Raw genomic sequence first — 22845 nt, forward strand, 5'->3', positions numbered from 1 at the left:
GGCGTATGGAACACAGAAAGTTCACATAGCTGCCTTGGAGAGGCCACCAGAGAGCCCAGTGACTAAGAGGCTTTTGCAAATCTTGAGGGGCTAGATCGCTGGAATTTCCAGAAATTCTAGTCAGCACAATTTAATGCTGTCTGCAGCAATACTTGGCAACCTGGAAAGGTTTGTTGCAATTGTTGGAGGTGCAGTCCTACATGTAAGCCAAGCTGAGCTCACCATAATGGATCTACCACATATGGAGTTGTAACAATGGGATAAACTCACACCTCATAGAAGAATCATCTCACGATGATAGAAACAACTCTAAAGACAGGCTTTCATCAAAAAAATCATAATTAATCCACCCTGCTTATTTTCCTAACAATGGAGCCAAGTTGTACTATTCATACCAAGATCTTCAGGGAGTTCCAGGTGGAAGGAATATTGGAAGTCAACTTGTCCAACCTGTCACCTATTATGACTTTCATTTTTAGAAATCCATGGAAGAAACTATCAGTGGGCACTGGCATACCCGGGCTCCTCTACATTTCTCAGCCTCCTTTGCAGTACATCTGACGCTGCATGGCTGGGCTCTGGCTAATGTGACATTGGCGGAAGTTGTGTAAGTCACTCTCAGGCCTGGCTCTCTCAGACGGAGGAGAAACAGCCAAGTTGCTTCACATCAGACTCTGCTTGAGAGAGAAATATACTTTGACAGTGTTAGTCACTAATATTTGTGGATTTGTCCATTTCATCAGCAAGCATTAATTCATATCAAGCCACTTTTTAATAATCTAGCAACTCAGAGCTGGCAATCACTCTAAAGAAAGGGATGGAGATTATTATCACCCATATACCCAAAAGATTAAAATGGTGGAAGCAGTCATGAAACCCACTTTTACTTTGCAGTAGCACCTCAATTATCTAAAGGTTATTATTTGAGACATAATTTGCAAAGCTAAAGCCTGAACTCCCTAACTGAGAACCAGAAAGTAAGCAGCAAACATCTTAAAACAACCCAGGCTGAGAGCAAAATTAAGCTTTAGAGCTTCATGCCCTGGTAAGCTCTTCAGGCTAGATATATTTACTCAAGTTATTTCAGAGTAAATAAATCAGTCTTGGAACTTTGATTATCTCCCATCAGATAAGAAATAGGAAATTGGCCAGGCAAGGTGGCTTATGCCTGTAATCCCAGCACTTTGGGAGGCTGAGGCGGGAGTATCATTTGAGCCCAGGAGTTCGAGACCAGCCTGGGGAACACAGCTGGACCTCGTCCCTACACATTATTTAAAAATTAGCTAGCCATGTTGGCGCATGCCTGTGCTTGCAGCTACTTGGGAGACTGAGGTGGGAGAATCACTTTACCCTGGGAGGTCCAGGCTTCAGTGAGCCATGATTGTGCCACTGTACTCCATTTTGGGCCACAAAGCAAGACCTTGTCTCAAAAAAATAAAAAAGAAACAAATAGGAAATCGGAAGCAAAAAAAAAAGGAATGGCCTGGAAGGGGGCAAAACATGCCATTCTGATAGTGAAGGAGAGATCAGGAAAACTACAAGAGGCAAAACACCCAAATCAAAAAGCAGTGTACAGTGCCCCATTTTATAAAGGATAATTGAGTCCCACTGCCCCTCAGAGTCCTGAAAGCATCATGGAAGAAGCTTAGCTCACACCTGATGCTAACTAATAAAGATGACTTCAGTCTTCATCCAACCTTTGTAAGCTTCGAAGGAAGGTAGGAAAACATGTAAGAAGTCTCTGGAAAAGGTAACTCAAAACAGTGTCAGTGTATAAAGATATACACTTGGTCATTTTAAAAACTCACTTACGAGAACTACCTTATTCCCTAGGTTGCCTCATAAAGCTGTTAAAAAAATATATGAGACATTGCTGGGCGTGGTGGCTCACCCCTGTAATCCCAGCACTTTGGGAAGTTGAGGAGGGCAGATCACCTGAGGTCAGGAGTTCGAGACCAGCCTGGCAAACATGGTGAAACCCCATCTCCACTAAAAAAATACAGAAATTAGCCAGGTATGGTGGCAGGCAGGAGAATTGCTTGAGTCTGGGAAAAGGAGGTTGCAGTGAGCCGAGATTGAGCCACTGCACTCCAGCCTGGGCAACAGAGTGACACTCTGTTTGACAAAAATATATATATGTGTGTGTGTGTGTCTGTGTGTGTGTGTGTGTGTGTGTGTGTGTGTATACATGTATTTATATGATATGATGTGAGACATTGTCAGTTGGAAGAGGTCTGATTTAGAATGGGCAGTTCCTCCTGAACCTATTTAGGTGCATACATCCAGCAGGAAAGAAATCAGGCTTCAATAAGATAAATCAAGATCTAAAAGTCAAGTTGAAAGGACCTTAGAGATCATGTAGCCAAGACCCTGGCAAAAAAAAGTTAGGTGACTAGAGGGCATCATTCATCTCACTGTAGAGGGGGCACTACCGCCAGTCTTGTATTTGAGAGCCGGAATATTATCCTCCACATCACAATTTCCTAGGCCAACTCACAACCCTCTCCATCCCTTCCCAAGCCTTCAGGTTGGCCCACAGGCCTGATGCACTCACCTGCAGAAAGCAGTGTCCAACCGGGGCATGCTCTGCAATGGTGGCATTGTACACCTGCCTCCAGAAGATGGGCTCATTGTCATTCACATCATCTACGGTGATGCTCACCAGGCAGGTGGCAGAGAGTGGGGGCTCTCCGAGGTCCTGGGCCACCACTTTCAGCTCCACCGCCTCCTGGACCTCTCGGTCTAGAGTCCGGATAGTGCTGATCGCACCGCTTTCGGAATCAATGGCAAAAGATGGTCCACACTCTGCGGTGTGGACCATCTTTGATTGCAGGGAGCCGAGATTGCAGGGAGCCGAGAGTTGGACTACAGTGTAGCGCAGCCAGGCGTGATCACTGCCTGCCTCGTCGGCATCGGAGGCGCTGACCCACATGACTACAGTGCCAGGGGCCGCGGCCTCGGACACTGAGGCCTTGTAATGCTGTTGGCTGAAGAGAGGTGGTTGGTCATTGAGGTCAGCGACCCGGAGTAGCAGCGTCTCCTCCGTGCTCAGCGGCGGGGACCCCGCGTCCGTGGCCACCAGTAGTAACTCATACAGATCGCGGCTCTCTCTGTCCAGGGGCCCCTCCACGCAAAGGAAAAATACCCCTGGGGGGCCGCCGGGTAGCAACGCGAAGTCTCCCTCTCCGCCTTCCAAGGACAGAGAGATGCTCCCGTCTCCAAGACCCACACCAAGCTCCCCTGTGGCCTCATCTTCCTTCTCCCAGTCACCGTCCGCGTCAGACACCGAGACGCGAGCCACGTAGTCGCCCGGTCGGGCGCCTTCAGAGACACGGGCGACGCCTCCCTCTGTGAGAAAGAGCACGTGAATTGCTGGCCGGTTGTCATTCACGTCCAGCACGGCGATGGACACGCGCACCGTGGCAACCTCAGGCTCGGCGCCTCCATCGCGGGCCTCCACCACCAACTGGTGCCAGGCCTGTGCCTCGCGGTCCAGAGGTCTCCACACTCGCACCACGCCGCTCAGCTCCTCCACCGCGAAGTAGGCCGCGTCGCCCAGTGCCCCGCCGCCGCTACCCGCCCCAGGCACTTGCCGGGCGCGGACGCTGTAGCGCACGAAGCCATTGGGCCCCAGGTCGCGGTCGGTGGCGCGCACGCGACAGACCTCGGCGCCCGGCTGGGCGTCCTCGCGCACCGCGGCGCGGTACTCGTCCTGCTCAAAGACCGGCGGGTTGTCGTTCTCATCCAGCACGCGCAGCTCCACGCTCAGGAGGCCGGTGCGCCGGGGTCGGCCGCCGTCCCATGCCTCGATCTGCAGCCGGTGCGCCGCCGCCTCCTCTCGGTCCAAGCGCCGCAGCAGCACCAGATCTAGAGGCTCCAGGGGTGACGAGGAGCCTGGCAAAAGCGGTGACGGTAGTGGCCCCGGAGTCCGGTAGCGCAACTGGAAGAACGGGCCTGCGGGGTCCTTGGGCAGGTCGGACGGTTGCACCAGGGTGTAGCCCTGAGTGCTGAACAGTCCGGCGTCCGGATCGTGGGCAACTGGCAGGCGGAAGGCGGTCCCTGGCGGGCTGAGCTCGGAGACGTCGAGTTGCAGGGAGTCGAGGGGAAAGCGGGGCGAGTGGTCATTCACGTCGTTGACGCGAATCTCCACCTGCACCACAGCGCCCAGCAGCGTGGCGGCGACGAAGCTGTAGTGGTCCCGCCGCTCGCGGTCCAGGCGCCGCGCAGTGCGGATGATGCCGGTGTCCGGGTGCACGTGGAAGTCGTCCAGCAGCGGGGAGTCATCGGAGTCCTCCGACAGAAAGAAGCCGCTCCCCTCCTGCTGCTGCGCGGCCGGCAGCCCGGCGCGGATGTCACCTACCAGCGTGTCCGGGGGAAGCCCCTCATCTACGGAAAGGGTGAGGTTGAACAACTGGGCAGAGGAGCCCGAGGCCGCCCACAGCCACACGTGCACCAAGAGCCAGAGCAGGGAGCGCTGCGTCCTGGCGCCGCTGCTGCCTGACCGCCCATGGGGTGTATCTCTCCTCCCGGGGAGCAGAAGGAGCTTCCCGACCGGAGCCCGCCGCTGCTGACGCCCTTCGCCCATCTTCCGCCCACAAGGGCTCATTTCTCCTCCAGCTCCTTGGGAAGGCTCTCGGGTAACTGCCAGCTTGTGGCAGGATCGCAGAAAAATCCAGGAGCCTCTTCAGTGTCTGAGCCAGAGAAGAAAAGACTTTGTTTGGCAAACAAACCGACGGCCCAGGAATTCCCGAGGTTACATCTGCAACTGGTGAAAGCGTCCTCTGCCTGCAGCTCACGCAGACAGGGAAGTAAGCTCTAGCTGCCTCTGCCGCGGCAGCCACCTCTTCTGCCCCTGGATTTCTTTAAACGAATCTCATCTCTTTTTCTCTCTCCTTTTATTCCCTTTACATCTGTTCCTTGTTCTACTCGGCTGGTTGTTCCCCCCTGGTAAAGTCAGGTGCATTATTTCTTTTGCCAAAAAGGAGGAGATTATATGAAGCGCGCACACACAAGGAGAGGATGGGGATCTGGCCGGAGTAGGGGGTGGAGTAAGGGCGTGGAGGCAGGGAGTCAGGGCGCTGGGGAGGAGGGAGAGAGGGAGGGGGGAAGGGAGGTCTGCGGCCCTGTCCGCTGCTCCGGGGGCGGGGCGGTGGTTCCCCACTGTGTCTCCGGGCGCCAGGGACCGCGCGACTCCTGCTCCGACCCAGCCTCCGCCGCCTGCCTTCCCCTCCCTGCCGTGTGATGCGGCGCACACGAGGGCAAACTCCAACCTGCGAGCCGCGCTCTGCAGCAGGGCGGAAGAGGAGCAAATGCAAAAGCACTGGGAGACGTGCACCGCGGGGCGGGTGGGGGACGCGCAGGCGGGGCGTCTGCCTGGGCTTGGCCAAGTGCCAAGTGATGATGGGTGCGGGGAGGTGAGAGGAGCGGCCTCTCCGCGGCCTCCCCCTCCATCCGCTTGACCGTCCCTCTGCAGGCCTGACTCTTGGCTCGCGCTGAGCCAAGAGGGTAGAGGTTATCATCACTTTGGGGTGCCAAACTTGTGTTCTCCATTTGGCGAGAGGGACTCCCGTCCGCAGCGGAAGGACAGATGGAGTCAAAGGCCGATGCATAGCTGGGGCCAGGATGGCTTTAAAGGGGAGAAGGCGGAACTTGGAAAAGCCTTCCAGAAAACCCGAGAAATCTGTGGCACACATGGTGCAAACCACACTTTATTATGCGTGCTACTACCCAGCGACGTGTGAGCCTCTTGTCACTCCCCTCTGCCACCAGGAATGACGACAATATATCCGCCCTGAGAACCCTTTTTCTACATTCAGCGCCATCATAACACTTCCAGGATGTCTGACGATGCTGACTGATGAGCAGAAAGCCCTGGTGGCTGACACCCCGCAAGCCCTCAGCGCTCCCCCACCACCCCTAGGCAAGGAAGTGTGCAAGCGGGATAACTCTACGGATACCACTTTCAAAACTAGCTTCTGTCTGAGCCGAACGCAAATGCCAATAAATAGCCATAGTCGCAGATTTCCCTTCAATTAACTATAATAATCGGTAGAAACTGATCAATGGCCTCTAATAAAGTACGCCTGAGAAAAGACTCTCTGGACTCTTAAAAATGGCTGACCATATTTAGCAAGTGGTTTCTGCAATTTTGCATTTGGGCCTGAGAGAAGAATTAATTTCCTAGATACCGTTTCTCTCCTTTAGGGAGGACCAAAAGCCCTGCATAGTGGTTTCTTGCAGCAACAACAAAATGCCTTTTTAAATGTGCAACGGAGGTGTATGTAATTGCTAATCCACAGCCACACCGTTATCTCTACCTGTGACCAAATAACAATAAAATAATTGACTTTGTAGCATATATGTTACCGAAAATGGGGACATTATTAAAATAAATTCAGCTTTCTTTCCCCCAATGAACTCTCTTTAACCATTAAAGAGATTTGTTATGAGTCTTTAGAGTCTTTTTATCTTCAGTCTCTGCATTTGCACCCTAACTAGTCCCTCCCCTCCCACTCTTGCCCCTTTATAAGTAATTCTTTTCTGTTTTTGCTATTGTTGTTGTTGTTGCTGTTTTGTTTTCTGAGTCAGGATCTCACTCTGTCACCCAGGCTGGAGTGCGGTGGTGCAATCATGGCGCACTGCAACCTCATGGACTCAAGTGATTCCATCACCTCAGCTTCCAGAGTAGCTGGGACTATGGGTGCCCACCACTATACCTGGCAAATTTTATATTATTTTATTAATTTATTTGTTTATTTTTTTTACTTTTGTAGAGATGAGGTCTCACTATATTGCCCAGGCTCGTCTCGAACTCCTGGGGCCAGTCTTCCTGCCTAGGCCTCCCAAAGTGCTGGGATTACAGGCTTGAGCCACCGCAACCAGCCTATAAGTAATTCTTGAACAAGCATCTGGATTAATGTTTTTAAAGCTGTCTCAAATCATATTACCTCCTGCTTAGAACCTGAAATGATTCCATTATACTTAGATTATAATTCAGACTCCTTCAATCAAGCTCCTTTTAGTAGTACAGGATCCTATCCATCTTTCTGACCTTGCCTCATACCACCACTCTGGACTCAGCCATCTGCCTTCTTTTTGATCTTGTACCTTTGAATTGTTAGAACTTTCCATGCCTGGGAGTTCTTTTTTCTGCTTTGGAAAGAGCTAGCTCTTTCTCATTCAGGTCTCAACTCCAATGCCCTCTGTTAAGAAAGATCTTCCCTAATTACCCTATTTCAGATAGCCTTTCTACTATAAATGCTATATCCTTTCAGTATATTTCATTCACAACACCTATCAGCATCTGAAATCAACTTGCTTTTTTCATTTGTTTATTAGATTATTACAACCTCAAAACCTTCATTCTGCTTTATCTCAGCACCTAGAACAGTACCTAGCATGTAGTGTGTCTCTATTTACTAAGTATGTGTTGGACAGACGGTTGGTTGAACCTATGGGTAAGTGAATGCATTTGTCTGTTAAAGTAGAAGTTGGAAGCCATAACCAAGAATGAATTGGCCATGAGAATCTTCACTGTAATGAATTATGTCTTTGCAATCTTACTCATCTTAATTATTTCATAGGACTTCTTGAACTTATTTTTCAGCTTCGTCAACTTACTTTGTAAACCATTGTATTAGTCTGTTCTTGCATTGCTGTAAAGAACCTGAGACTGGGTAATTTATAAAGAAAAAATGTTTAATTGGCTCATGGTTCTGCAGGCTGTACAGGAAGCATGGTGGGATCAGTTTCTGGGGAGGCCTCAGGAAACTTACAATCATAGCAGAAAGTGAAGGGGAAGTAGGCAGGAGGAAGAAAATGAATGGGGAGGTGCTATACACTTTTAAACAAACACATCTCATGAGAACTCACTCACTCTCATGAGGACAGCATCAGGGAATGGTGCTAAAGCATTCATAAGAAACTGCCTCATGATCCAGTCACCTCCCACCAGGTCCCACCTCTAACACTGGGGATTACCATTCAACATGAGATTTGGGCAGGGACACAGATCCAAACCATATCAACCATATTGTTAACAAATATTTACTTGAGTCTAAAAATAAAGGAAAAGAAGCATCTTTTACTGCATCTTTCACTGACACATTCTTTGTAAACAGTGGTTTAGTTTAGAAACAGTGGAAAACAAATGGAAAATCAAGAACCTCAGACATCTATTTTCCTATTAGTTCTAAAGCTTTATATCTCCAGCATGTACAATTCAAGGTCTCCTGTCCATTTCACAATTACCCTTCATTGAATGTCCTGAATATCCTTAATTATAGAATTAAGAATTCAATTTTGTAAAGTAAGAGAAATAAGAGCATTTCTCAGATATGTGAAAAATAATTTTAGATAATACAGAAGCCAACAGCCTGCAAGAAATAGGTCAAGGTCTGATCCTTGTAAGCGAAGCATCATGGCGTAACTGGCCAGAGTTTTAGCTTTAAAGTTGGAAAATCCTTATTCTGCTCTATAATTTGGGGCAAGTTATTTAAATCTTAAGCCTTAGAGTTTCCTCCTTTCTAAATTGGGGATGATACATCTAATTTACAGGGATGTCATGGGCCTTAAATGAGGCAATATATGTGGATTGGTACCTAGAATGCATGTGGTAAATTGTATTTTTCTTGCCCTCTGGTGTTTGTATGATGAAATGTTTTAGGAGTGAATTATTTTGGAATTCTCAGTAATATCAAACTCCGACTTCTTAGCCCCCCAGAAGGTGTGAAGGGGGAGGATATAAAATTCCCACTATCTGGCTGGATGCAGTGGCTCATGCCTGTAATCCCAGCATTTTCAGAGGCCAAGGCAGGAGGATTGCTTGAGCCCGGGAAGTAAAAACCAGCCTAGGCAATGTGGCAAGACCTTCTCTCTACAAAAAAAAAAAAAAAAAAAAAAAATTTAAAAATAGCCAGGCACGCTGATGCATACCTGTAAGTCCCAGCTACTCAGGAGGCTGAGATGCCAGGATGGCTTGAACCCAAGACATTGAGCTGTGTCATTGCCACTGCACTCCAGCTTGGATGACAGAGCGAAAGCCCATCTCAAAAAAAAAAAAAAAAAATCCCCAGTATTGTAAACAGAAACTTGGACAAAAAGGCTCAAGGCATTTCTTCACTTTGTGTTATTCAGTTTAAGTAACACAGGAAGTCCCTCTTCAGAAACATTTTCCCTCAGACTGTAGGTAGCCCTCAGCTTTGTGATAGTTAATTTAAATAGTGTAGTTGCTAAGTGCTCAAAGCAGGGTTCAAATCACCTCACGTCAACCTTTTAGGAAAGGAGTTATAATTAGTATTCCCATCTTACAGATGAGGAAACTGAGGTTCAGGAGCATTGCAAGTCATGTGGCCAAAGTCCCACAGGTAGTAGAATTGGAACCTGAACCCAGTTTTGCTCCAGTGTCCACGGTGTTCACTGGTCATTTATTGTCTTCATGATTTTCTTTAATAAGATTGTCTTCTTCTGAATTCTTGATGAAATCAGTACAGTGATATAGTGAGTTTTGGGAAGACCTGGGAGAACTACAGAAGGAGGAACTTGTGAGCATGTTAGTGGGAGTGGTGGGGAGGCACAAGAGGATAGTCACATGTCAGTACTTGAAAATACAACCAAAAAAAAAAACCAACTCCGTACTTAGAAATGTACTTAGAAATGGTACTTAAAGGCCAGTAAGGAGAATCGGGTGACATGGAGGGTTTCTTCCCAACTTCTCACGCATGGGGATGGCCCTCTGAGGGTTAAGAAGGGTGCATGATACCAGGAAGCCCCCATACTCCCTTGACTCACATGCCATCTTTCTGAAAACGTTTGAGCCAAAGAGCGTTTGGAGCTTGTGATGGTTAAATGTGATGTGTCAAGTTGGCCCAGGCTACGGTGCCCACATTGTTTGGTGAAACACTGGTCTAGATGCTGCTAGGAAGGTTATGTCATGCTGGGAAGAACCCTAACTAATATAGAGCTTTGTGGAAGTGGAGATAATTTAGTATTTAATATTATAGCTGGTATTTAGAATCTACATATATTTTGTGTTCTTAAAGTTTTTAAAATCAGAATCCTGGACCTAATAGGGATCTTAATAAGTAATCAAGTACATCTTTCTGTCTTAGATTCTAAGCCACTCAAAAGAGATGATAGTCTTTTCCTTTTTTTAACATTAGAACCAATTCCACACATGCCTGTATGATATTCTCAACTCCACAGAATATGATCACATTTTACAGATTAAGAATCTTTGATTTGAATATCAACATATAGTTATTTGCTTTGATTTTGGGGAAGATGAAGAAAAACTGGTCGATTATTTTTATGCCAACACTTCATCATATAGTTGAAGGGAACTATAACAAGGCTTATCGTTAAGTTGGTTTTATCATACTGTATTGAATCATAGTTTCAGATCTAGTAGAAGCTGGAATATAAGAAGTGCGTATACCAAAGTTGTCCCTGCTTTTGAAGATTGTGGTATTTGTAGATCTCAGAACCCCTAGCTAAGGTAATTCCTGCCTAATTTCCCCTTTTCTGTCCTAACTTGCTTATTCTCCTTCCCAGTGCTTGGTAAGGCAGACCAACTTCTCCCCATTCCCTCCAACAGACTCAGGATGGCCGACAAAGTCCAATCAAACCTGCTCAACCATATAGGCTCTACAATTTGGCTTTTCTAATTCTGTCTTTGGCACATACCCCATTTTGCCTTTTGTAAAATCTTTTCTTTAGATGAAATAATCCCAGCTCCTCATTCCCTCGACCCTTTAATCATTTTGTTTCTGTTCTCTGAACTCTCTCCAATTTTCCTATATATTGTATCAGATGCGGAAACCAAAACCACACACCATTTTCTAACAGGATCTATGCATTGCCAAACCTGGGGAGGTGACTTACTTCTTCAATCAGAAATTGAAGCCAAGTCCAAAAGGTTAACAAGTGGATGTTGGAACAGGTGTGACACCCCCATTCCAATAAAGCAACACTTTCTGAGTTGGTAATTATTCAGTGTGGAAAGTGTAATCTACTTGCTTTCACATAAAAAATTTTAGAATATTCATGTATTTGTATAAGACGGCATGATAGATAAAGCAGGTGAAGAAAAAGATAAATAGCACTGGATCCTGCCAATATTTTTCTAAGTGCTATTGTTCTTTGTGAGAAGTTAAGGAAGCTGATCTGTTTCCTGGGACAAAGTAAAGTTCACTGAAATATATATACATAATATATGTTATAATAATTCCAGGCAAGAGAAAGCAAAGGAAATACCCAGGACTCTGCCAATCCCACAAATATTCAGTGAGAAAAACACCTGGATTCTCCCCAAGCCACAGCTGTTTAGTTGGAAAATGCCTGGTTCCCATTGAATCAAGGCAGTCAGGGAAAAGGGCCACATCCGGCCCAGTGTGTCTACTGCGTACGACGCACACACATGAATCCTATTTGATCAAGACACAGTTATTTTGGAAATAAATAGTTCCTGCTGGATTCAAGCACAGCTCGTGACTAGCACACACAGATGGGGGTACACTGAGTGCAGATATTATCTATGAGAAACTCCAATACACAGATATTTGGTAAGAAAACTTATGGCACAGGTTTTTGGGCTCTGTTACTATCTCAGTTATTTCTCTCCTGGAACATATGTGGGTTTGGCAGTGCTGCTCTTTGATTAGGGTTGCTTGGATCACCAAGATCTGAGCATGTCCATCCAGATTCTTTAGGTCGAGCAGCGAATATATGTAAAATGAAATGCAAAATTGATAAGTCAATCTTGTTTTCCTTTAGTATACAATCAACAATATAGTAGCATAATCATAACAGGAAAGTTCCAGGACTTTCTGAACATACGTGAATTAGGAAAAATCCTATATCTCTATCATCACAATGTACACTTTCCACATATTCCCATCTTTTCCTTTATTGGCATAAACTTCTTTTGTGTCAAAAGGACACATTTTCACTACATTTTCCAAATAACTTTTCATCAATCCATTATTTTAAAAAAACCCACTGTTGGCCCTGAAATTAATCTGAAAATTAGGCAGATATTTCCAATGAATTAAGTAATCATTTATACTTAAGATTTACCTACTTTAAATCATACAGAGGTTTCTTATTGTTAACATAATTTATAAGGAGTGAGTCAGTGCTTAATCCCTTTAAAGGTGTTTTTAGTTTGCTATCCAAAATCAACCTGAGGAGAGAACCTGTGTTTTGAGAAATCACAGACTTCACATCTGAGGGTTCTAGAATCCTGAGGCCTTGGGAGAATTTCTTTTACCCAATTACTTGCTCCAGAAATCAGGAGAGGTTATGGTGGAAACAGCTTCATGAATTCAGGTTCTCCTCATCTTTCCTCTGTTGACTGCCAATTCCTTATTTCCCATAACTCTTTGTATCTCAGTGCAAAAAAAAAAAAAAAAAAAAAGGAGAGAAAGAAAAATGGAGGAAAGATATTGCAGAAGCTTCTAGCCTCAAAGGATGCATTCAATTAATAAACAGTAATCTTTCAGGAAAGCAACCCTAAATCCCCTGGTCAACAATGTCCATTCTGACCACTGCACATTGAGTGTTTTAGCCATCAAGCTGACCTCCAGGGTATCTGCAGTAGCATTACTGCATGTGCAGGAGCTTCTCTTCAAACACAGCTTCCTGTGTTTGCAAATGTATATGTATAATTTTTTTCTCTGACTTCACGGACTTTTATCCCCGACCCTGTATTTTTTTTTTTTAAATAAACGTAGCTTCCACGTTTTTGCTGTGTGCTTTATCTTGAAAATCCTTTTTGAAGGCCTCCAGCCTCTCTTCTCATGCATTTTCATCCCCAGTCTGCCCTGTTTCACCTGTGGGCTTTATTCACTGTTCTTCCTTCTGTTAAGCCCTGGTCTCTTATCCAGGCATAACGGAGAAGCTTAAAAATGGCCATAAAAAATGTAGTTTAGAAGAGATGCTTTAAAGCTCAAATTGTAAAGCCCTTCAGGGGGCACAGATGAATGTTAAATGCTGGGAAGCAAACACCAGTAATCAGAGATGTAATCGTTCATTTTTGAGCAAGTGCATTGTGTGGCCCAAGAGGAAAAAGGCAGAGCTGTAAACGGCTGCAGAGTGGCCACAGCTGCCAATCCTTGAACTTTGCAGGTGCCCAGAGTGAATGATTCCAGGAACTCAGCTCTCCTTCTGCAAGAATATCACCAGCAGAAAAGCCATGTTCACAAATCAAGGGAACTTGAAGGATTATTCTAGACCTAATCTCCATAGTCCCCTGTGGTAGGCAGAATAATTCCTCCTTCCCTACGCCCACAAAGATGTCTTCGTCATAATCCACTGAACCTGTAAATACATTACTTGACAAAAGGGACTTTGCAGATGTGATTAAGTTAAGGAGTTTGAGATGTGGAGATTGTCTAGGTGGACCCAATGTAATCCCAGGGGGCCTTAGAAGGGAAAAGGGGAGGAAGGAAAGTCAGAGTCGGAGGAGGAGATGGGACAAAAGGTTGGAGTGAAGGAGCCATGAGCCAAAGAACTCAGGCAGTCTCTCAAAGCTGGCAAAGGCAAGGAATTGGATTCTCCCCAGAGCATCCAGAAGGAACACAGTTCTGACAACACCTTGATTTTGGCCCAGTGAGACCTGTGTGGGATTTCTAACCTACACAACTGTAAGATAATACATTTGTGTTGTTTTAAGCCACTAAATTTGTGATAATTTGTTACAGCAGCCACAGGAAACTAATACACCCCTTGGCAGTGCCGAGACCAGTTTTTCCTCTTCCCTGAATTCTCTGAAGTAAATATTCACATTCCCAGTGCCATTGTTCCCTCTCAAACATGAACATTTACGTTCTCAATGAAAAGAAGACAGAAATTATCACAGCATCAGTTTTTGCCTCCAGCCAACAGTATCTCAAGAGATCAATTCCTGCTGGAAATTTGAGCAGATTCCTTTCATAGAAAGTGTCTCTCAACAGTGTCAAGATGAAGTTTTTCTTTGATTTAAATGCATTATTTGAAGTTATGTCTTTGTAAAAATGTTTTTTAGAAAAAAACCTGTCACAAAACAACACTCATGTTTAAAAGGCTAAAGATATAACAATCATGATTGTTAAAACTTTAACTAGCTGTGATTTGGGGATAATATTGAGTTAGCCATAATTTATCAGAGGGAGAGACTAGAGTCTTTGGGAAAGAGAGTCAAGGACACAAAGGTTCTGTTTAAATCAAAGGGCTTGACCCAACAGCCAGAAAATGGGGTTCTGGTTGTACTGTGGAGAGAAATAAATCCCGACTGTGGAAACAAATCTAAGTGCTGTATAATGGGCCATGAAATCTATTCAATGGGAGTCAGTGGCTCCAGAGGTGGGAACCTGCTAGTGTGTACACAAAGAATCTGTTTCTTTTCATCTCCTCATACTCAAATGGAAATGTGGTGGTTTCCAAACTTTTCTGACCCACCTTAAATAATATATTTTATATCATAGGCCACATATACACATATACAATGTAATTAAAACAGTATTTTCATGACATCTTACTTACCCTTGCAATGTGAGCTATATTCTGATATTTCCTAATTCTTCTTGTTATTTTTCACTGATGTTCGTTCATTTACTTATTTTTCATTTTTAAAATGCTAGTCAGGATCATTTATTTATTTTTCATTTTTAAAATGCTAGTCAGGATCAACTAAGTGGTCATGACTTGGAGTTTAAAAACATAGCTTCAGTAGGACTATTATCAAGAAGGTAGGTATTTTCTTTGGGTTGTAGTAGTAACAGCTATTCATTACTACCTAGTAACTTCAAACAAAATGATAGCTTGGAACTCAATACCTTTAAGGTCTTTCTAAGTCTATAATTTATAGTTTTTCATCAAAAGAAATATTACTTTATCTAAAGTTTTTTTAATAAAATAAAGCAATGACTAATAACTTGAAACCTTCTCTCCAGCAAGTTTGTTTAATTTAAAAAAATGGTTTTACTAAAATAATTCTGATTCCGTTTTGGTCTTCAATTATTAGTTCTAAACACCAAACATGTCTTTCTAATGAAAATCAAATTATTGAAATTTTTGCCATACCTTTTTTGTCACATTGTTCATTGGTGTTTCTGAATTTTGATTTCAGGAGTTGGGGAACTAGAATCACTCCTAAGGGATAAAGCATTTTGAGTCACTTCCAGAGAGTGTTTTGATTTATGCTGTAGCCAATATCATCTTGAAATTGTCCTCCCCTTCTCATCACTAATATTGCTGAAGGCAGGTGAAGCTAGTGTCCTAAGACTCACAGAGAAACTGCTCACTTTCACTTTGTTTTTAACAATTATGCTGCACAACACACTTGTCAGATTCTTGCCTGTAAAATAAAAGTGATGCTAAACTCTCAGGGCTGAAGAATAGCTAATAAATTGTGCTAACCCTTCAGAGATGCAAAACAATAGCAATCACTCATCAGTTTGCTGAGAGGTGACAGATTCCAATTTCCTATTTTTCCAGAGACACTCTCCTCATTACCAAGCAAAACCAGACCGGTTAACTTGCCCAAGATCTATAGCTTGCTGCAGTGATCTCATCGGTCTGTGTCCCTGATGGGAACTCAAGCAGGTGGTGCGGAGAGCAGCGAGATGACATACGGAGACAGATTGCCGAAATAGGCTGATCCACCAGGCCAACTAATTTTCCTTCTGAGAAGAGCAATTATTTTAAATTGCCATATATCAACATGACTTTGTTCTTGCCACTAAAATATAACATCAATAAACTGTAATGTAAATGAGTGCCTCCTGCTACATTGATTTTTAAAAATTAAAGATTAAAAAAATTAAGAAGAAGAAGAAGAGCTCACATTGCTTCATTTAGAATTAAGACAGGATCACAATTCAAGGCATTACAACATTAAGCTGGGATGTGTAACTCACACTATTTTAGAAGCCTTTTGACAATATCACAAAACTACTCTGTAACTTTGTTTTTAAATCGTATTAATTCTGTTGAAAAGTGTTCTTTTGTGTGAGAGAACACGGTCTCTTATGATAGATACAAAAATAAGGATGCTGGAAAGTAGATGTTGGATACAAGAGAGATTAAAAAAACTCACCTGCCCAATCTGTCTAGAACCAGAACTTAGGCTGGTTCAATCAAATACTCCTTATGAAAGAAATGCATTCAGAATTCCAAATAAGGATTTTGAAGAAAAATTTTAATATCTGTATTTAGATTTAGTGGCCCTAAAGGGAAATAGGGTGTTGATTTATGAAATTGAGAGAAATTATGAGCAGCTGGAACATTAAGGGCACATTGTCAGAGGGAGTTTTCATTGCCAATTTGGAATGAAGTTCCAGCATAGTCCAGTGCCATGATTTAAACACATAAGATCCTAGATGCCCCAATCTAGTTAATTTGAGCATATGTAATATCCAATCCTTGGATTATTTGATTGACAGAGCCATTAAAGATACAGCAGTTAAAGATAGATACAGAATGTAGTTAAATTTTATTACATTTTACAGTTTTTTCTTTAGAGATAACTATTTTTAACTTATGATGAATGATTTTTGAAATAAAAGACACTTTAACAGAACGACTAAGTAAAAATAAAGTCTGAAAATCTTTTTATTAATTCTAGAGAGCTTGACAATCAAACTACAAAACTGTTCCCAAGGTAAAGTATCTAAATGCATATAAGCTTCCTCATGTGGGCTGAGCTTGCAGCAGAAACATAAAACAAGAAGAAGAACGTCTCAGGGTAGACAAAGACATAATTATCTTCTATATTATTGAATAAACACTTTACTGCATAATAAATCATCTTAACCCCTTTTTCTTCAAATTCGGATAAAAATTGTTTTCCCGGCTTCTTGCAAAGAGCTTCCAAATAATACATCCATTCCTGATCTCTTGGTTTTCTCCCAGAAATCTTTAAATCAAATCAAGATAAGCAGTTTAAACCATTGAATTCGTTCTGTTATCTTTAAGGATTTTCTCTAACATTACTCTTCATTTGTCTGGACAAACAAGTTACCTGGGGTTGTGGAGGACCTACACAAGAGGAAGATCATTTGGGGTATATTAGACTACCACAAGGGGGAGTGAGTGCCAAATATTTTCAGTTGGGATTTTAGAAGGAAACCATCCTGACCTATGAAGTATTTGTATTAGGAATTCAAGGAAGAATCTGGTGGAGAAGGTCCCTTCCCTGGAAGAACCCAGGATTTAGTAAGGAAGTAGGTAACAAAAATTAATTACATTACAAGACAAATAATGCTGTGGGAATAAAGACTTATGGAACTTAGAAGACAGCTTCGCTTTCATTCATATCCAATCTGGCTAACACAGTTCATTGCTTCAACCGTCTCTTAGCAACATACCTTAATATCCTTCGCACCCAGTCCTTCCAAGGCGTCGTCCCCTTCCACAGCCTCCTCCTTCCCCACATCCTTTTGGATTAATCCAAACAAGTGTTTCCTTTTGTTTGGCCTTCCTTGAGATGCTACCTGCTCCTGTCTGTGTCTCGCCGCTGCTGTTTGTTTCCTGCAGCAGCACTTATCACTTTCTAAAATGAACATCTTTGTTGAGTTACCTGTTTATTGTCCGCCTTCTCTCTAAAATGTGTGATTCTGGTGAATTTTATTCACTTCTCTGTCCTCAGTGCCTACAAAAGCATTGACTGAATTTATGAATTCATGCAAACTGATATCATTTTAAATCTATAGGTTCCAATCCCAATTGGGTCCCCACTGCTGTTCAACAAACCTTTAGTCAACAAATTCCTTTCCTTGAGTTATAAGAACCTCCTTCACCACTGTTATAAATTCACTTCAGCAAATGATCTGGTCCTTCACACCCCAATGGCAGCCCCTCTAAGGACCTCATGGGTTTAGGGATATTTAGGGTACTGTTCGGTCTGTCTCATAGTTAGCATCTCTGCTGCATTAGGCAAGGTTTCCCAGTCTCTCTTTTAAATCCTTCTCCTGTGGCTTACACAAAACCATTCTCTCTTGGTTTTCATTCCTCAGACCTGCTGGATCAAAATCTCCATAGACAAGACCCAAGTGTGTATGTGTGTGTGGGTGTGTGTGTATTTCAAGGCAGAGTCTTGCTCTGTCACTTCACCCAGGCTGGAGTGCAGTGGCACAATCATGGCTCATTGCAGCCTTGACCTGCTGGGCTTAAGTGATTCTCCCACCTCAGCCTCCCAATAGCTGGGTCTACAGGCATGATCTGCCATGCCCATCTAATTTTTTTTATTTTTATCTTTTTAGTAGAGATAAAATCTCGCTATGTTGCCCAGGCTGGTCTCAAACTCTTGAGCTCAAGCAATCCTCCCAGCTCAGCCTCCCAAAGTACAAGGATTACAGGCATGAGCCACTGTGCCTGGCCTGTTTGGTTTTTGTTTTAAGAGCCACTGATAAACAGGTAGGACTGACAACTTCTTGTGGATTTCTTCTCTTCTCCTTTTCTTGTCCAGGGACAGCTTTAAACTTAGCAACTGGGTAAAAGCCAAGGTAAGGTTATAGGGGGCTGGGCTTGCGGGGGACAGATTTTGCCTTAAAACTGCCTTTGCATGACAAACACATCTCTTTTATTTGGATTACACGTTTCCAGATCATTACAAATGGGAAATTTTAATCAAGATGCCCATATACACAGCTTACATAAAGGCAATTGTAAGATGCATGTATTCAATATTTACATGTTTCAGAAAATATTAGTTGCCATATAGAAGAATATTGCTATGCCATGGTGATTATCATTTGGGGGGAAATCATTTGAAGGGATGCTGCCTCAGAAGGACCAGGCGCCAAAGATGTTAAGGTATGTTGCTAAGAGATGGGGTGTCCCCACTATTGACACCCCCTCATTTTCCCACTCTCTTAGCTTCAGCTTCAGCTTCCTACCTAGACCCCAACGATACTCAAATCTATGACTTTAAGAACACATAGCCTCTTTCTCCCTCAAATGTGAATTCCTCATTCTCAATGGATGACGAATCTTTTCCAACTGATACTTAACAGGACCCATTGGTATATTGGGGCTGGTATTTTTGGGGGCTGGTATATTTAACAACTGTTAAATACCAGCCCCAATATACCACTTTCTCTCCTAAACTTCCTTTCTTTCACTGAGTCCAGTGGACTATATTTTTGATTTAAATTTTTTCTCCATCTCTCCACCATTTCTTGAATCTGGATAATCAGGTCTTGTTTAAATGATTGGAATTGCTTTTTGACAAGCCAGCCTACCTCCAATACCTAAACATGTTCCATCCCTCCACTGACAAACTACTAAATACTTCCATAGTTATCTTTCCAAAGAGACAATCCGATTATCTCCACTACCTTCCCCTCTTGTTTTAAAACCCTTCAGTGGCTCTCCCATTAAGGACTAGAGTCATATCTCCTTATTCCTGCATGCAATGTCCTTTGTGATCAGACCTCGGCTCATTTCCCAGGCTCATCACCCTCCTGTCCTCCCCAGGCCTTAGCCAGCTCTCATTATGTGAGAGTTTGAGAAGATGTCACTAAATTGTAGCCTTTCAAATGCCTTCAACTCCTAGGCATGGACTTATGCCTCCAAAAATGCAAAGTAATAAAATGTGGAAAATAATCAGTTTATTTTTATTTGCGGGTTGGTTTTATTTCACATGCTAAGGTTCTTCTAAATTTATTCTGGCTTCCCTGCAGCAATTCTGCCCAATTCCATTTTACGTGAAATAACAGCAGCAAAGTTCAGAAATACTGCCACCTTGTGATCACAGAGTAGGTGAAAAGCCAAGTGGTCCTCCCTTTATAAACATGTTTATAAACAGAGGAGCTCAGAACTGGAGAGATTCCCTGACCAGTCCCTCTTTCCAGGCCTTAAAACTAACAACCACTTGATTACTGCTAGAAACTCAAAATTACAAAACTCTACCTTTAGGGTCTACTCTTAGTGACTCTCTTTTGTAGAGTTTTGTTGGTTTCCCTCCCCCAGATTATTTAAAGATACTGAAGGACCCACTTATTTAAGCCATCTTCAGGTTCAGGTCCTTTGAAGCCCAGAGAACTTTTTTAAGCCTTTTACTTTTAGGAGGTATGTGCTCCAGACCATAGCTGTCAACTGTATTAGGACAGCAGTGAGTTGATGCTATTTGACAATACAAACCCAAAACAGGGCGTGTAAGAAGTCCTCAAGAGCTGCTTATTGAGAGAATTAATGAATAAACAAATGAACAGCAGATACGATGACGATTTTAAGAGTGGAGAAAAATGTTTCTAATATTTTTGAAAGCAGTCATTTTATTTTGAAATGTCAAGTCCATCTTGAAACATTGACATATTCTATACTCTTGAGCTATTTAAGGTGGGTTTGAATAAAAGAATAATGGAGGTGTAGAGAGGCGAAGTGACCTATGTCTAGTGGCATACCAACAATAAATAGGTTCAGGGCAACTCAGGGCATTGCAAAGATGGGTGAGGCTGAAAGGAAATGTAAAACATATTCATTCAAACCCCTTTTGATACTGCTTTGCAAAAACAGGTTCATCCAGTTCTTCCTTTCTCTCTCTCTGTCTCTCTCTCTTTCTTGAGACAGGATCTTACTCTGTCACCCAGACTGAAGTGTAGTGGTGTGATCATGACTCACTGTAGCCTCAATCTCCCAGGCTCAAACAATTCTCAGGCCTCAGCCTCCGCACCTGGCTAATATTTTGATTTTTTGTAAAAACAGGTGCCCACGCTGGCTCAAATTCCTGAGCTCAAGTGATCCATGCACCTCGGCCTCCCAAAGTGCTGGGATTACAGGCAAGAGCCACAACACCCAGCCTTCTTCCTCTCTTTGGCTCTATTCTTAACTATTATTTCATCACATAGACTAGCTTATTTTTTAAGGTTTGTTCTCAGAATGATTGTTTTCAAATGACTTAGAACTGGATTTCTCATAAGCAGCATAGTAGCCACTGGAGACTTTTGTACACAGGTAGAGAATAAGCTGCTTTGAAAAGTCATTGGTCATTCCAAAACTCATTTGTATCATGAGACATCATAGAATATATGCTTTGTAAATAATTTGTTTTTCAGAGTCAATAACTAATTACCAGTTCATGCCCTATAAATAAATCCATATTGGAAATTATGTCTAAGTAGATTCATCACAGAAACGATTGGCCGACTGACCAAACAGCAAACTTCATGATTTACTTCTTGGCTTAGCTGCTCTCTTTGCATTTCTTTTTTAAGCAGTCCTCTTCCCCCATCATTATTATAGTAAAGAAGGAAAATGGACAAGGTGAAGCAAGGCTAGACAGGTGTGAATTTAAAAATCACTGATCCTAGAAAATGTTTGCAGCTTTTGGGTTGTAAGAAAGTGAAGTAGGCCTGACATGCTGGCTCACGCCTATAATCCCAGCACTTTGGGAGGCTCAGTCAGGAGGATCACTTGAGCCTAGGAGTTTGAGACCAGCCTGGCAATATACGGAGATCCCATCTCTACTGAAAGTACAAATAAAAAATTAGCAAGTCATGGTAGAGCATCCCTGTGGTCCTAGTTACTCAGGAGGCTGAGGTAGGAGGATTGCTTGAGCCCAGGAGGTCGAGGCTATAGCAAGCTGTGTTCGCAAGGAAGAAGATGAAGCAGGTTCTGTGACACAGAACAGAATTCAGGGCAAGTGCAGGGCTGGGCAGCCTCACACTGTAATTCACACTCAGGGCAATAAACAGAAAATAATTTTCAGAATGAAATCATGGCATTGATCTTGTCATCATCTCGAGCACTTGAGATTTTGAAACAAATTAACATTGTCTCCTTAAATGCAAGGTATCCTTCTTAGGCTCCTTAAGGAACTTTGCCATTTAAAAAAGTTAAGTTTTCAAGATAAAGAGACCTACTTTGGTCACAGTGAAGATTATGACTAGCCAATTGGCAAATGCCAGAAGAAATCCATGTGTTTCTTTTCCTTTCACTCTGCCCATGTTCCACGTATATCAGTTCCACTTAGCTAAGTTGTCTGCTCCTTTTGACTTGCTGGAATATCACAATGCAAGTCTGGTGGGCACAGAAATTCTGGGATGGTGTCTAGCCTTAATTAAACACCCCCAACTGTGGTGCAGTCAAACCTTGAGATTTTCATGACTACTGAGACCTGGACAAAAAACAAGTATTTTTTGCCCAGTAGAGTTGAAAGCCGAAATAAGCAAACAAGAAGGAGGAAACATATAAGTAGGAGATTGCAAAGGCAGAGAGGTAAAGATGGCTTAGCTCCAGGTGGTCAATGATGCTCTATCCAGATGAGGGGCTTTGGGGCCCAGAGCCTGCATGTCCTGATGGGTTTTCAATTCTGAGCACAAGATATTCATCTGAAATGTTAATTTTCCATGTTCAGCCATTTGCCATCCGGATAAAATTCCCAGCACAGCTTCTGCACAAACTCAGGATAAGGTGGCAAGCTCTTAACTGCCTTGACTGGTAAACCATGTAAATAACCCCTTTTCATTGTTTTTTTCCACAGGCAAGATAGAGTAGTCTTTCTAATATTAACTTCAGCATAAATATTGAAACTCACATAACTTGAATATTGAAAAAAGCTTCCAAATGGTCTTTGAATTTAAATAGCACCTTGAGACTCCCAGCCCCCAGAACAGCTCTAAAATTCAAATGACTAACCAACTTGCCATTCTTTGCCTTCTCTAATTTCCATATTTCTTTTTTTTTGTGCTAATAATTAGCCATCTCCCACATTCTTGATCACATGTAAACAGTAGACCAGGCATGGTGGAGAGAGCAGCTAATTAATATCATTCAGATGGAAGGGCTTTCATTTTCTGCCTGCTTTTGGGAAATTATTCCCTGGAAGAATTTCTTTGTATGGAGATATTGGACAATCTCCTATGT

The 22845-nt window shown here is 43.1% G+C and overlaps 1 protein-coding gene across 2 annotated transcripts in view, besides 5 other annotated features; it reads right to left on the reverse strand.

The window, feature by feature from the left end:
• DCHS2 (dachsous cadherin-related 2) overlaps positions 1 to 5050 on the reverse strand; it is a 260058-nt gene extending 255008 nt beyond the window's left edge. For both annotated transcript variants that reach the window (NM_001358235.2, NM_001142552.2), the window contains exon 1: positions 2555 to 5050. In NM_001358235.2, coding sequence (NP_001345164.1) covers positions 2555 to 4606 — 2052 coding nt within the window. In that variant the 5' untranslated portion in view covers positions 4607 to 5050. The remainder of the gene's footprint in view (positions 1 to 2554) is intronic.
• Positions 2878 to 3834: an enhancer, noted in NCBI's record as "H3K27ac-H3K4me1 hESC enhancer chr4:155410779-155411735 (GRCh37/hg19 assembly coordinates)". NCBI's record gives its function as "activates a minimal SCP1, AML or CMV promoter by ChIP-STARR-seq in naive and primed H9 embryonic stem cells {active_cell/tissue: H9 hESC(naive and primed)}" and the evidence as "EXISTENCE:reporter gene assay evidence [ECO:0000049][PMID:30033119]".
• Positions 3835 to 4790: an enhancer, noted in NCBI's record as "H3K27ac-H3K4me1 hESC enhancer chr4:155411736-155412691 (GRCh37/hg19 assembly coordinates)". NCBI's record gives its function as "activates a minimal SCP1, AML or CMV promoter by ChIP-STARR-seq in naive H9 embryonic stem cells {active_cell/tissue: H9 hESC(naive)}" and the evidence as "EXISTENCE:reporter gene assay evidence [ECO:0000049][PMID:30033119]".
• Positions 4259 to 4398: an enhancer, noted in NCBI's record as "active region_22075". NCBI's record gives its function as "activates an Ori minimal core promoter by ATAC-STARR-seq in GM12878 lymphoblastoid cells {active_cell/tissue: GM12878}" and the evidence as "EXISTENCE:reporter gene assay evidence [ECO:0000049][PMID:35858748]".
• Positions 4449 to 4628: an enhancer, noted in NCBI's record as "active region_22076". NCBI's record gives its function as "activates an Ori minimal core promoter by ATAC-STARR-seq in GM12878 lymphoblastoid cells {active_cell/tissue: GM12878}" and the evidence as "EXISTENCE:reporter gene assay evidence [ECO:0000049][PMID:35858748]".
• Positions 5431 to 5480: an enhancer, noted in NCBI's record as "active region_22077". NCBI's record gives its function as "activates an Ori minimal core promoter by ATAC-STARR-seq in GM12878 lymphoblastoid cells {active_cell/tissue: GM12878}" and the evidence as "EXISTENCE:reporter gene assay evidence [ECO:0000049][PMID:35858748]".

This window comes from Homo sapiens, chromosome 4, assembly GCF_000001405.40.
Source record: "Homo sapiens chromosome 4, GRCh38.p14 Primary Assembly".
NCBI classification, from domain to species: domain Eukaryota; kingdom Metazoa; phylum Chordata; class Mammalia; order Primates; family Hominidae; genus Homo; species Homo sapiens.